We start from the raw sequence: 15,179 nt of genomic DNA, 5'->3' as shown, positions 1-15,179 counted from the left end.
GGCGTGAGCCACTGTGCTTGGCCTTAGAGTAATTATGTTTAAAAAACAAACTGAAAAAAGCCTTTAAGTTTTTTAGAATGAATTTTATACATTGTGCTTTACTATATCTTACAACACCGATGCAGCGCAAGAATTAGTTCAGATTTGCTTTCATATTTTAATAGCACTTAAATATTTTTGTTGTTTGCTTTAAAATTGCTATTTCCATAGGTAAACTTTTTAAGATACTTCTCAAACTTCACATGCAGTTTTAAGAAATAATACAGAGAGCTCTCATGTTCCCTGAAACACCTGCTATTTTAAATGTTTATGATTATTTATGCGAAACACTTCAAAGAATGAAGTAATAACATTGATTTTTCAAAATTTAATACTGGGACTTAATACATTATTTTATAATTACATTAAGTTATTCAGTATGTATAAATGTATCTCTATTCCAAGTCATTTAAGGAGTAAATTAAAGTAAAATGCATAAATTATTAATCTTAAGGATCAGGATCATACATGGTCAGTAAAGTTACTTTGCCATCATAATTGTAGTTTTAAAAAAAATTTTACACACACTTTACATTGTTTCAGTCGTATGTACTTATATTACAAAAGAGTTTAATTAGACCTCTGATGTTAGTAGCAAGAAACTACAACCTTTGAAATTTTAAGGAAAATTCCATTTTATTCAAAGTCCAAGAAAAATACTTAAATATCAGAGTTCAGTCAGCAAAGTGGAAACCACCCAGGAAATTTAATTTGCTGGTTACCGATATGGGAAGGCTAGAAGTTGCGTGATGTAAGGGTGTTGGGTTCAAACCCAAGTAGACCAGTATCCCTCAGAAGGACACGGATTGGAAGCTTTAAATGCCATGTTACTACTTGGGTATAAGGGTACACAAGGTGGTATTTCATCTTCCTAACGCACATAATGTGTAGCACATGGTGATTAGACAGTGTAAAATCTATTGCAGTCAAGATTTTACAATCTAATGGTAGCAGTTAACAGATGAGAGTATTAGCTAATGTACAAAATAATTGGAAAAATGTATGAACACATTTTGGAATGTTAAGAATGAATTCCAGCTTTTGTTTTTTCTAGTACAAGAAGCTACAGGTGCACATGTAATTTCTAATATATACTGAATAACTTTCACAAAGCAGTGTTTGTGAAGAGTTGGATTTGGTAATACTAGGATTTAGTTTGGTTGTAGGGGAATCTGTGTCTGTTACAGGGTAGGTTTTCCTTGGACTTCTGTAAGCAGGAGTACCTTCAACAAGGGTGATAAATTTTGGCCCCCAGATATGTCATTGACATTTACATGCTTTGTAATTCTATTTGGGTCAGTTCATGTGGCCCAACTCAGCATCCATTCCTTTTTTTTTTTTTTTGAGACAGAGTCTTGCTCTGTCACCAGGCTGTAGTGCAGTGGCGTGATCTCTGCTCACTGCAACCTCTGCCTCCCAGGTTCAAGCAATTCTCCTGCCTTAGCCTCTCAAGTAGCTGAAATTACAGGTGCCCACCACCACACCTGGCTAATTTTTGTATTTTTCGTACAGAGAGGGTTTCACTATGTTGGCCAGGCTGGTCTCGAACTCATGACCTCAAGTGATCTACCTGCCTCCACCTCCCAAAAGTGCTGGGATTATAGGCGTAAGCCACCATGCCTGGCCCCAAATCAGTATACATTCTTGATGTATTTTATTTTCAAGATGACTAAAGCGGTCCAGGCGTGGTGGCTCATACCTGTAATCCCAGCACTGTGGGAGGCTGAGGCTGGTGGATCATTTGAGGTCAGGAGTTCGAGACCAGCCTGACCAACATGGAGAAACCCCGTTTCTACTAAAAATATAAAATTAGCTGGGCATGGTGGCCCATGCCTGTAATCCCAGCTACTCGGGAGACTGACGCAGGAGAATCGCTTGAACCTGGGAGGTGGAGGTTGTGGTGAGCCAAGATCGAGCCATTGCACTCCAGCCTGGGCAACAAGAATGAAACTCCATCTCAAAAAAAAAAAAAAAAAAAAAATGACTAAAGTGGGAATTCACTGAAACATCAACTTTATTTTTCGCATCATAAGATATACTTTGCAAAATTTTACATAGAACATTCTTTTTTTTTGGAGATGGAGTCTTGCTTTGTTGCCCAGGCTGGAGTGCAATAGCGTGATCTCGGCTCACTGCAACCTCTGCTTCCCAGGTTCCAGCGATTCTCCTACCTCAGCCTCCAGAGTAGCTGGGATTACAGGCGCCCATCACCACACCCATCTTAGTAGAGACAGGGTTTCACCATATTGGCCATGCTGGTCTTGAACTCCTGACCTCAGGTGATCTGCTCACCTCAGCCTCCAAAATTGCTGGGATTACAGTTGTGAGCCACTGCACCTGGCTACATAGAACATTTAAAAAGCGATACATGAAGACAAATATTTCTTCTAAATGTATGGACTCTTATCCTGGAGTTGAGTCTGTAGATAGAATTCAGGGGCTCATTGAACTTGAAGGAGGGAAACATCTTTATTTTCCCTAGCCTCAAATTGAAATTTAAAACCATTTTCTTCAACTATGAATACTGGCAACAAACCACAGTAATGTTAGCAGTACTGTGACCATGTCACCAATAGAAAGCACAGATGTTTTCAGATCACATTATAGTACTTGCAGATCTCTTGAATATTATCTGTGCTCATCACTACTTCTAAATAGGGTGTTTATTAGTTCTACCACTAGATCTTGTTTATTATTTCACATAATTTTTTGTTTTTGAGACAGGGTCTTGCTCTGTCACCCAGGCTGGAGAGCAGTGGTGTGATTACAGCTCACTGTGGCCTCATCCCAGGCTCAAATGATCCTCCCACATCAGCCCCTCAAGTAGCTGGGACCACAGGCATGAGCCACTACGCCTGGCTATTTTTTTTATTTCGTTGAAATGGGGTCTCACTATGTTGTTCAGGCTGGTCTCAAACAACTGGGCTTAAGCGATCCTGCTACAGTGCTGGGATTACAGGCATGAGCCACTGCACCCTGTCTAGGCCCTGAGTGTTCTGGGTACCTTGCACCCCCTCATAGTGTGGGACTCTTGCTGCACTTAGTGGTATTAGAGTGTTAGAGGGTTTTCTTCCTAATATTATATATCCCCTAAATATGAGCCAGCTCTGCTCAAAAAAGTGGCAATGAGTTCCATAGCTGGAGAAAAACATGTTGGATCTGCCTAAGATTTTCAAGGAAAACTTTTTTTTGAGAAGTAGTCTTTCTCTGTCGCCAGGCTGGAGTGCAGTGGCGCAATTTTGGCTCACTGCAACCTCCGCCTCCTGTATTCAAGCAATTCTCCTGCTTCAGCCTCCCGAGTAGCTGGGATTACAGGCACCCGCCACCACGCCCAGCTAATTTTTGTATTTTTAGTAGAGACGGGGTTTCACCATGTTAGCCAGGATGGTCTTGATCTCTTGACCTCGTGATCCGCTGGTCTCAGCCTCCCGAAGTGCTGGGATTATAGGCGTGAGCCACTGCGCCCGGCCAAAACTTTTTTTTTTTTAATACACATTTCACATACCGTAAGAGTCACCTCAAGGGAGGTTTTTGACAATAGTTGACTTATATGTAACAAATTAAGAAGAATAATTCCTTAGAGTAACATTTAGGAGGAATAAGGACCCTACAAATATGTAAACCTCCTATTTATCCTTAAACTCTGATTTTGGTTTGTACATCCTTTTGAGAATCTTAAAAAAAAAAAAAAACAACTCTCCTTAGAAAATGCTTATATGGCTGGGCAGTGGCTCATGCCTGTAATCCCAGCACTTTGAGGGGCCGATGTGGGCAGATCATAAGCCTTAAATTAAGAACATAAGCCTTAAATTAAGAGTTCTTACTCTGGAGAAACATTGCATATAAATTTTTACCTTTGAATTTAATGTCACATGTTTCTGTGTTCAATCTTGTTGGCCTATCATATGACAATAATAGCAGTTATTTATTATATAATTAAAATTTTTTGTTTAGATTGCAGGCGAGAAGAAATCTGCTCAGTGGCGCACAGTGGAGGGTGCATTGAAGGAACGCAGAAAGGCAGTAGATGAAGCTGCCGATGCCCTTCTCAAAGCCAAGTAATTACTCATGGACTTTAACAAGTAATTAGGGCCTCCTGGTGGCTTTCTTTGGGCCGGGTTTTCTTTGTATTGTCTGTATAGAATAAAGAGGAGGTAGAGAAACCCTTCTCTCACTTTTCCACCTGTGCTTGTTCTGAATTGGCATTAGGAATTTGTACAGGCCGGGCACGGTGGCTCACACCTGTAATCCCAGCACTTTGGGAGGCCGAGGCGGACAGATCACGAGGTCAAGAGATCGAGACCATCCTGGCCAACATGGTGAAACCCCGTCTCTATTAAAAATGCAAAAAAATTAGCTGGGCGTGGTGGCGGGCGCCTGTAGTCCCAGCTACTCGAGAGGCTGAGGCAGGAGAATCACCTCAACCCAGGAGGCGGAGGTTGCAGTGAGCCGAGATGATGCCATTGCACTCCAGCCTGGGCGACAGAGTGAGACGCTGTCTCAAAAAAAAAAAAAAAAAAAGGAATTTGTACAAAGGTGTAAAAAGAGAGAAGGAATAAAATATAATTAGTCCAGGCTGAGTACAGTGGCTCACGCCTGTAATCCCAGTACTTTGGGAGGCCTAGGAGGCAGATCACTTGAGACCAAGAGTTTGAGCCATCCTGGCCAACATGGTGAGACCCTGTCTCTACTAAAAATGAAAATGTTAGCCAGGCGTGGTGGCATGCGCCTGTAGTCCCAGCGACTCGGGAGGCTGAGGTAGGAGAATCACTTGAACCCCGGAGGTGGAGGTTGCAGTGAACTGAGATTGTGCCACTGCACTCCAGCCTGAGCCTGGGCGACAGAGCGAGACTCCATCTCAAAATGTATATATATAAAATTAGGCCAGAATAAATTTGGCAGAAACTTATATAAAGGATTTTTTTTTTTTTTTTTTAATTCATGGTCTTGCTCTGTTGCCCATGCCGTAGTGCAGGGGCATGATCAGGGCTCACTATAGCCTCAACCTCCCGGGCTCAAGCCATCCTCCTGCCTCAGCCCCCTGAGTAGCTGGGACTGGCATGAGCCACCACACTCAGACATATAAAGGATCTTACATAAAAGTCAGTTTCGCTTTGGATTATTGCTTAGATGATGTATCTCTACAGATGTACTGAGATTCTGCTGTAGTTTTAAGATTTTACTGGGACAGTTTGGGCAGTTTATCAGAATGTAGAAAGTATGTCACAATCTGTCTGCCTTAACCAAAATAGTGGGTATGTAATAGGTATGCCACGTTGACCTTGATTCCTGGAAGTTGGCTAAAACTAGGATTGAGCAAGCATGCCCAGATATAAGATCAACCTCTGTTGATGGAAACCTACATTTGACTAAAGATCCTCATCAGCAGTATGGAATAGTTATTTGTCACTCAAAATTTTGCTGTCTTTTTTAAGAAAATATTTATTATTAGTAGAGAAGGAAGTCTTCTGATAAAACTAGCATATCTTTTAGGAGATTTAAGGCATTATGCTCATATCACTTTGAGTTCTGTGTTTTATGGTGGGTAGACCACAGTCTGACGGACTTATGAAACATTCTGAATCGTGAGGGCTCCCTGAGACCCAGTTAAGTATTCGCCCAGTGAGGTTTTTGGCCTTCTCCTGTGCCTTTGCCTGCCTTAGCTCTCTCTCATTGGTTGGTGAGTCAAGTTGATCCTTGCAAGAGCTGCTGTTTATTGTGTGCTCATGATTCAGCCAGGCACTAAGTACTTCTCATGAATTACTTCTGTTCCTTACACGAAAGCATGTAGGAAATGAGAGGCTGATATGGGAGCTGAATCTGGGGCTGTCTTACTCTGAGGTCTGGGTCACTCCATATACCATGCTACCTCTCTGGTTCACTCTAGTAAATCTAGCTTCTAACCAAGGTGTTTTCAGTTGTTGATGAGAAAAGCCTCTCTGTGTATTGACTCCAGAAAAGCATTGATGCTCGTCCAAAGGTAGTGAGTTAGCTCAGTTGATTGTTCACAGTCAGTTACGGATCGAACAGTCTCGTTCTAGTCTTTCCTCCCTTACTATTGCACTTGACTAGTCTTTAAAAAAAAGAAAAAAAAAAGCAATTACATTTCTTTCATTGACTTTTCTTTTAGTTTTTTTAATAAAATAGAGGCATGGTTTCCCTATGTTGTCCAGGCTGGTCTTGAACTCCTGGGCTCAAGTGATCCTCCTGCCTTGGCCTCCAAAGTGCTGGGATTACAGGTATCAGCCACTGCTCCCAGCCTGTTTCATAGACTTTTAACAATTATATACTGTGCTGACATCAAAACTTTTTAATACAGTTGACAAGAAGTTATATTAAATCTTTGTTTTGTTGGTTTCCAGAGAAGAGTTAGAGAAGATGAAAAGTGTGATTGAAAATGCAAAGAAAAAAGAGGTTGCTGGGGCCAAGCCTCATATAACTGCTGCAGAGGGTAAACTTCACAACATGATAGTTGATCTGGATAATGTGGTCAAAAAGGTATGTTTCCTAAGTCTTATAGTATTTTATATTTTAAAATATAATCTCTTAAAGGATTTTAAGGATTTAGGAAAACAGCAAATTCCTACCATCTCCCCGTCTTTTCTCCTGCAAAGTGTATTCGTTGTTACTGTTTTAAAAAATTTGCCTTGGCTGGGTGTGGTGGTTCACACCTGTAATCCCAGCACTTTGGCAGGCCGAGGTGGGCAGATAACTTGAGCCCAGGAGTTTGAGACCAGCCTGGGCAACATGGTGAAACTCTGTTTCTACAAAAAATACAAAAATAAGTGGATGTGGTGGTGTGCGCCTGTAGTCCTAGCTACTCAGGAGACTGAGGTGAGAGGATGACTTGGGCCTGGGAGGTTGAGGCTGCAGTGAGCTGAGATGGTGCCACTGCACTCTATCCTGGGTGACAGAGTGAGACCCTGTCAAAAAAAAAAAAATTTTTTTTTTTTGCCTTGGACACCAACCAAGTGGATTGTTCCATATTGTTGATACTTTCTATAATAGATAACATTTTTGGTTATGATTATTGTCACTTATGAAAATGTCCATTTTGTAGCAGATCTTCTGCCTGCACTTATATGATATGTATGGAGGGAGGGGGCATAGTAAGATGGGAAAGGGCCTGTCCATGGTATTTGAATAGGAATTAGAAGGAAACAAATAAGGCTTATATTCTATTTCTGAGCTTCAGATTTCCTTACACATTTCCAACAAAATGTAAACAAATGAAGGAATACTACTTCTGTTTCTTGGAATGTTTATGGTATTTTTTGTTCAATTTAATCACATACCCTGTGTATTTGCTCAGGTCCAAGCAGCTCAGTCTGAGGCTAAGGTTGTATCTCAGTATCATGAGCTGGTGGTCCAAGCTCGGGATGACTTTAAACGAGAGCTGGACAGTATTACTCCAGAAGTCCTTCCTGGGTGGAAAGGAATGAGTGAGTACAACTGAAGTAATGTTTTTTTTTTGATGTTTTAACCACTAATCAATGAATCTAAACTTGCTTCATCTCCATTGTAGTCCACATCCCTCTGGCATGCATGCATATCTCTTTTTGTTACAGCGTTTTATTTTAACCACAGTCATTACAGATGACACAGCTGCAACACTACTCTTGTAGTTTTAGCTGTGGTGAACATGAGTTCCAGCTAGTGTTTAATTCCATAATCCGTGATTGGTTCTGTTCTGATATTTGCTACTCAAAAAAAAAAAGTTTGGAATTTGAGTGAACAAAAGTGACATTATAACCTTGACACTACTGAAATATTATTGTATATGTATAAGTATTAAAAAACCTTATTACTTTAAAAGTATTTGTAGTGAATTATTTAAAGCACACTTTATGTCTGCTCTGTGACAAAACAACACTTTGTTGAGAATTTACCTAGGGACCCTGCATTGAGAAAGGAACCAGCTGTCTGGCTATCCACTTCCTCAAGCTGAAACTACAGAGAACTTTGATGCTGAAGTCGTTACATGGTGTAGCTATAGTCACATTTCCCTGAAGTTCTGTGAGAGTACTAAGAATCACAGAGATCACCTGTCTCAGCAAAATTAAAATACCGTTTATTTTTATTTTTATTTTTTTTGTCGTTGCCCAGGCTGGAGTGTAGTCCTCCACCTCCCGGGTTGAAGCGATCCTCCTGCCTCAGCTTCCCAAATAGCTGGGATTACAAGCATGCGACACCACACCAGGCTAATTTTTTGTACCTTTTTTTTTTTTTCTTTTTTTTTTTTTTTGAGACAAAGTTTTACTCTTGTTGCCCAGGCCGGAGTGCAATGGCGCGATCTTGGCTCACTGCAACCTCCGCCTCCCACGTTCAAGCAATTCTCCTGCCTCAGCCTACTGAGTAGCTGGGATTACAGGTGTGAGCCACTGCGCCCAACCAATTTTTTTGTACTTTTAGTAGAGACAGGGTTTCGCCATTTTGGCCAGGCTGGTTTTGAACTCCTGACCTCAAGTGATTCGCCCACCTTGGCCTCCCAAAATGCTGGGATTACAGGTGTGAGCCACCACACCTGGCTCAAAACACTGTTTAAATGCTAGCATTTGTTAGAAAGCAGACTTCTCATGTTGTAGGCCTCTCTGGGCTGAAGGTGTCAGGGTTGCATCACAGAACCACAGCTGGTCTAAGGAATGAAGGTAATAAATACCAGTGCAGGGATTTATAATCATTCTGCATGATGGCCACCCAGGGAGACTGAATGTCAAGAAGTGGAGTTAAGGCTGTCAAAAGATAACTCAGACATTGAGCTCTTTGAATGCAGTTGACTCAGGAGGCAGATATCAGTTAGATTGTTGTCAAATAAAAAAGTGACAGTATGATTTATGAGAGAGAATAATGTGGAGAAATACAAAGTTCAGTCTGGGACCAGTGACTTTTGTTTAGACACTGGATAGCTACCATCGAGCAAAGAAGGCATTGTGGACAATTTATCCTTGAGAAGGATAAACTTGAGCCACGTTGGCACTGCTTCCCTCATCAGAATTTCTCAAGGGGTTGTCTGTGCCTCATTGAGGTTACAATTGAAACAGATGTGAGCACCTGAGAGACTTTCCCTGATTATATTCCTCCACAAACCACTGTACCATATTACCTTATTTTATCTTCTTGAAATTCTTATTCATTGGCTTGTTTGTTGTCTCTTTGCATTAGATATATGTAAGCTCCTTGGCATAAATTTGACATTGGTAGGTAGTAGGGAGTCTCCAGTGGCTCAAATAAAATGAAATTAGGTTGACAGGGCAGGACAAATTTTATTTGTGGAGAGTTAGATACGAGCATCAACCCTAAGAATTTGCATTCTGTCTTTGGTCTTCCCAGTAGACTAAATCCTACTAATTTTTCCAAGCCAGCTCTCAGGTTTTTAACTTTTGCTTTTTTTCTGCTTTTGAAAGTGCCTATCGCAAAACTTTTTTTTTTTTTTTTTTTTTGAGATGGAGTCTTGCTGTGTCACCCAGGCTGGAGTGCAGTGGTGCAATCTTGGCTCACTGCAACCTCCGCCTCATGGGTTCAAGCGATTCTCCTGCCACAGCCTCCCGAGTAGCTGGGACTACAGGCGTGTGCCACCACACCCAGCTAATTTTTTTGTATTTTTAGTAGAGACTGGGTTTCACCATGTTGGTCAGGCTGGTCTCAAACTCCTGACCTCAAATTATCCATCTACCTCGGCCTCCCAAAGTGCTGGGATTACAGGCGTGAGACACCACGCCCGGCTGCCTATCGTAAAACATGAAAATGTTAAACAGTGGTTCTCAACTGAGGGCATTTTGTCCCTCACATGACATTTGGCAACACCGGGAGACATTTTTGTTTGCCGCAACTGTAGGGAGCTACTGGCATGTAGTGGGTGGAGGCCAGACGTGCTGCTAAACATCATGCAGTACACAGAATAGCCCCCTTACAGCAGAGAACTGTCCGGACCAGAAGGCCAGTAGCACCAAGGTTGAGAAGCCTGTGCTAAAGAAAGGGCCATGTAGAAAATGAAGGTCCCTTGTGAAGCAATCTATATTGTTTCTTTTTTGAGTGACCTCCATTTAAATCTTTATTAATTTATAAAATAGAGTATATATTCACAATACAAAATTTGAAAGGTACAAATGGCATTTGAAGTTTCCCTCTCACAGTTTTCCTCCTCAGGGACAACCGGTATTACTGATTTCTTATGTATTTCTAGAGATAGTAATTATTCCATGATTACCCTAGCCCTCCGTGGATGTCCTCACCTCTGAAATCAGAACGCACTAAGACCTAAACCAAATTTGTTAGTACTGGTTTGTGTTATGAGGCATTTTGCTCTTATTGTCATTATTTCTTTATTATACTTTAAGTTCTGGGATTGCTCTTATTATTTCCCTAAACGACAAATGTCCTGATGATGTTCACTACATCCAGTACTCTTTCTGTGTTATCTGTAGCTGAGCAAGTTTCCAAACGCAATAATAGCTAGTGGTATTGAGCATTATTTTGTACCGGGCACTGAGTTCTAAGTGCTTCACATATATTAACTTATTTGAAATTCATAACAGCCTTACAAGGCAAATTTGGTTATTATCCCAATTACATAGATGAAAAAAGTGAGACAGAAAAGTAATTTGTGCAAGGTTGGGGTAAGAGCCAGGATTTCATTCTCCCCCACTAGCACTATTCTCTGCCTAAATGATTTGTATCAGCAGCACGGGACTCCCTTTTGGCCTTTTGAGAAGAGGAATGATATAACCATAATAAGGAGGAAATTTTATTTTTATGAGATTGACGGTGTAGGAGGGAGTGATGTTTAGTCAGTTGATGTTCAGAGCCCCTTGGATGAAAAATACCTGTCTTTGGACTTGTTGAATGCAAAGGTTATTAAGAAGGTCAGGACTGGCCAGGTGCAGTGGCTTATGCCTATAATCCTAGCACTTTGGGAGGCTGAGGTGGGTGGATTGCCTGAGGTTAGGCGTTCAAGACCGGCCTGGCCGATATGGTGAAACCCCATCTCTACTAAAAATACAAAAATCAGTCGAGCATGGTGGCATGCGCCTGTGGTCCTAGCTACTCGGGAGGCTGAGGCAAGAGAATCACTTGAACCCGGGCAGTGGAGGTTACAGTGAGCCGAGATCGTGCTGCTACACTCCAGCCTGGGCAACGGGAGACTCCGTCTCAAAAAAAAAAAGGACGTTCATACCAGGATGTTCAGCAGCTCATCCTGAGAGGCAGTAGCTGCGACTGGCTGCATTCCCCTTCTCCTGTCACGTGTTCACACTGGGTACTTGTGATACTTGTGATTGTGGTGGGGGACATCATTCAAACTATACAGAATGCCATTTTTTCCCTTTACTCTCAAATCAGGCCATTGTAGTTCTTTAATTTGCACAGGTTAAATGAAAATTTAGTTTGAATTCATTGTTTTAAAAATTTCAAAGAAGAACTGAATGTATTAAGTATCTGAAATGTTAAGAGAGGCCTGGTACTGTGAACAGAGAGTCAAAACTGTGATTTAGTAAAATACTGTATGAACTAATGAAAATGCGAGGGATAAAAGAAAATTATAGTTTCTATGAAATGCTTAAGTTGAGGCTGGGCATGGTGGCTCACGCCTGTAATCCCAGCACTTTGGGAGGCCGAGGCAGGCAGATCATTTGAGGTCAGGAGTTTGAGACCAGCCTGGCCAACATAGTGAAACCCCGTCTACTAAAAATATAAAAATTAGCCAGGCGTGGTGGGAGGCGCATGTAGTCCCAGCTACTTGGGAGGCTGAGGCAGGAGAATCCCTTGAGCCCAAGAGGCAGAGGTTGCAGTGAGCTGAGATTGCGCCACTGCACTCCAGCCTGGGCGACAGAGCGAGACTCTGTCTCAAAAAAAAAAAAAAGAAATGTTTAGGTTGCTGGGTGCAGTGGCTCATGCCTGTAATCCCAGCACTTTGGGAGGCTGAGGAAGGCAGATCGCTTGAGCCCGGGAGTTTGAGACCAGCCTGGGCAACATGGCAAAACCCCTTCTCTACAAAAAAGTACAAAAATTAGCCGGGTATGGTGGCATACACCTCTAGTCCAAGTTACTTGGGAGGCTGAGGTGGGAGGATTGCTTGAGCCCAGCAGGTGGAGGTTGTGGTGACCTGAGATTGTACCACTGCACTCCAGGCTAGGCAACAGAGGAAGGCTCTGTCTCAAAACAAAAAAACAAAAAATTTAAGTTGATTACTGTGAAACAGAGATAAGTCCTTTGAAACCAAAACCACAATTAATATCAATGATTCTTTTATTTTCTAAAATGTTATTTACCTTGATTTGTCTTGTTTTACAGTTTAAATTTTAGAAAATAGCCGTATCATTTCATTTTCCAGTATTAAAATAGCTTTTCCTGGTACTAGTCTCCGATTCCTTCTTGTTTCCTTTTAGATATTTCTGTTTAATGATCAATAACTAAAGTATGTGCATTCTTTTTTTTCAAACTGTTCTATTTTTTCCTTTGTAGGTGTTTCAGACTTAGGTGAGTGTTATGTATATTTCATGTTTAAAGTCTTTTGTTTTGGGTATTAAGAGACTAAAGTCTTTTTGTTGTGCCTATGATTCTTACACAAAGCCATCTAAATAGATATAAAGTAGAATTATGTCACATGATAAATCTGAATTGGATATTTTTGGCATCCGAATGCTCTCAGGAATGAAAATGTTTCATCAAGTGATTGGAATCCTATAGATGTGAAGTGTGTGTGTGTGTGTGTGTGTGTGTGTGTGTGTGTGTAATATGGATTGTAACTGATTACTTTGGAGAATTTCAAACATTAAAAAGTAAGAAGAAAACTAAAGAACTTCCAGGACCCATCACTCAGTTTTGTAGCCATCAGCACATGACCAGTTTTGTCTCATCTATTCCCACTCCTCCTCAGCTTATATAGAAAGCAGACTCAAATATCACATTCTTTCACTTGTAAATACTTTCAGTATGTTTCAAAAACATCACCATACTATTATCACACCTAAAACTTAGTAACAATTCCCTAGTCACCAAATGTCCATTCAGTGTTAAAATATCCCCTATTATTTCATAGAATGAGTCTTTACAGTTTTTATTTGAATCGATAACCCATAGACGTTCCACATGTTGAGTTTAGTCAATAAATCTCTTGCCCCTTTTTGTTTTTTGCTTTTCAATGTATTTATTAAGAAATTGAGTCATTAGTCATATAGAATTTCCTACATTCCATATTTTGCTGTTGGAGCCATAATTCTTCACTTCATCTTAGCCAAAAGACTAAGAAGTGATGGAGTCATAATTCTTTTTTTTTTGAGACAAGGTCTTGCTCTGTCACCAGGCTGGAGTGCAGTGGCACAATTTCAGTTCACTGCAATCTTCGCCTCCTGGGTTCAGGCAATTCTCGTGCCTCAGCCTCCTGAGTAGCTGGGATTACAGGCATGTGCCCCCATGCCTGGCTAATTTTTGTATTTTTAGTAGAGTCAGGGTTTCACCATGATGGCCAAACTAGTCTCAAACTCCTGGCCTAAAGTGATCCACCCGTCTCGGCCTCTTAAAGTGCTGGGATTATTGGCATCAGCTACTGTGTCTGGCCGGTGGAGCCATAATTCTCTCTTTTTTTTTTTTTTTTTTGAGATGGAGTCTTGCTCTGTTGCCCAGGCTGGAATACAGTGGCGCAATTTCGGCTCACTGCAACCTCTGTCTCCTGGGTTCAAGTAATTCTCCTACCTCAGCCTCCCGAGTAGCTGGGATTACAGGTGTCCACCATCATGCCCAGCTAATTTTTGCATTTTTAGTAGAGACGGAGTTTCACCAGGTTGGCCAAGCTGGTCTCGAACTCCTGACCTCAGGTGATCTGCCTGCCTTGGCCTCCCAAAGTGCTGGGATTACAGGTGTGAGCCACTGTGCCTGGCTGGAGCCATAATTCTTAATCTGTGTATGTGTTGCTACATTTTTGGATTGAGATTTTAAAAAAAAACAAACATTGGTTTAAGCCTAGATGAGAATCTTTGGGTGTATTTTAAAAAGCTTTGCAGTGATTCTGATGGACAGCTCTGGTTGCTGTGTTGGGATTTAATCTAGATCATATGTGTTTAAGAAAAGTAAAAAAACTTATTAAGGAAAAGTCTGAGAGAATTTGAATTTGATTTTTAGTTTTAGCAGAAAAGAATCTTCAATTGGATGCCTGTTATAACTAATCAGAGTTATGCCTGAAAGAAAATATAGAAGTGATTGTATATATAAGTTTTGTCTTTAAAGGCAAAGTTACAGTAAATGAGAAAGTCCATTTATAATTAGTTCAGATTAAAAGAGGGTTCCTGGAAAACAACTGATTATCTGAAGGCCTACCTGAATTTTGCCAGGGGTTGAAAATACCTTATTGGACACTAGCCAATTTCTGATTGAACTGGGGAATCTAAATCTCTTTTCATGTTAGCTAAGTTTTACTTTCGTTTACTGCTCTTAAATTATAATCAGTTGATGCAGATTACCTTGTAATGAGGTATAATTTCAGTGACATCATTAATATTTTAACATGCTCTTTTGCTTAGCTGACAAGCTCTCTACTGATGATCTGAACTCCCTCATTGCTCATGCACATCGTCGTATTGATCAGCTGAACAGAGAGCTGGCAGAACAGAAGGCCACCGAAAAGCAGCACATCACGTTAGCCTTGGAGAAACAAAAGCTGGAAGAAAAGCGGGCATTTGACTCTGCAGTAGCAAAAGCATTAGAACATCACAGAAGTGAAATACAGGCTGAACAGGACAGAAAGGTAAGAGAAATGAGAATTGTTGCCTAACATTTAAAGTGACTCTAACTTGATTGTTTACTTGTAGAAATAATACTGGCTCAGCCGGGTGCAGTGGTTCATGCCTGTAATCGCGGCACTTTGGGAGGCCAAGGTGGGTGGATCCCTTGTGGTCAGGAGTTCGAGACCAGCCTGGCCAATATGGCGAAACCCCCGTCTCTTCTAAAAATACAAAAATTAGCTGGGTGTGGTGGCTCGCACCTGTAATCCCAGCTACTCGGAAGGCTGAGGCAGGAGAACCACTTGAACCAGGGAGGCAGAGGTTGCAGTGAGCTAAGATCGTGCCACTGCATTCCAGCTTGGGCGATGGAGCAAGACTGTCTCAAAAAAAAAAAAAAAATACTGACAGTCATTGGCTTTAGGATAT

The 15,179-nt window shown here is 41.2% G+C and overlaps 1 protein-coding gene across 57 annotated transcripts in view; it reads left to right on the top strand.

The window, feature by feature from the left end:
• IMMT (inner membrane mitochondrial protein) overlaps positions 1-15,179 on the top strand; it is a 51,527-nt gene that overhangs the window by 29,390 nt on the left and 6,958 nt on the right. For 29 of the 57 annotated variants that reach the window (NM_001400117.1, NM_001400137.1, NM_001400118.1 and 26 more), the window contains 5 exons: positions 3,994-4,097; positions 6,402-6,537; positions 7,352-7,481; positions 12,499-12,513; positions 14,553-14,776. In NM_001400117.1, coding sequence (NP_001387046.1) covers positions 3,994-4,097; positions 6,402-6,537; positions 7,352-7,481; positions 12,499-12,513; positions 14,553-14,776 — 609 coding nt within the window. Of the gene's footprint in view, positions 1-3,993; positions 4,122-6,401; positions 6,538-7,351; positions 7,855-12,498; positions 12,514-14,552; positions 14,777-15,179 lie in introns of those variants that run through there. The other 28 variants (NM_001400128.1, NM_001400123.1, NM_001400127.1 and 25 more) reach the window with 10 other exon arrangements.

The sequence above is a fragment of the Homo sapiens genome, chromosome 2 (genome assembly GCF_000001405.40).
Source record: "Homo sapiens chromosome 2, GRCh38.p14 Primary Assembly".
Taxonomy (NCBI): Eukaryota; Metazoa; Chordata; class Mammalia; order Primates; family Hominidae; genus Homo; species Homo sapiens.
This window is presented reverse-complemented; position numbering and strand designations above follow the sequence as displayed.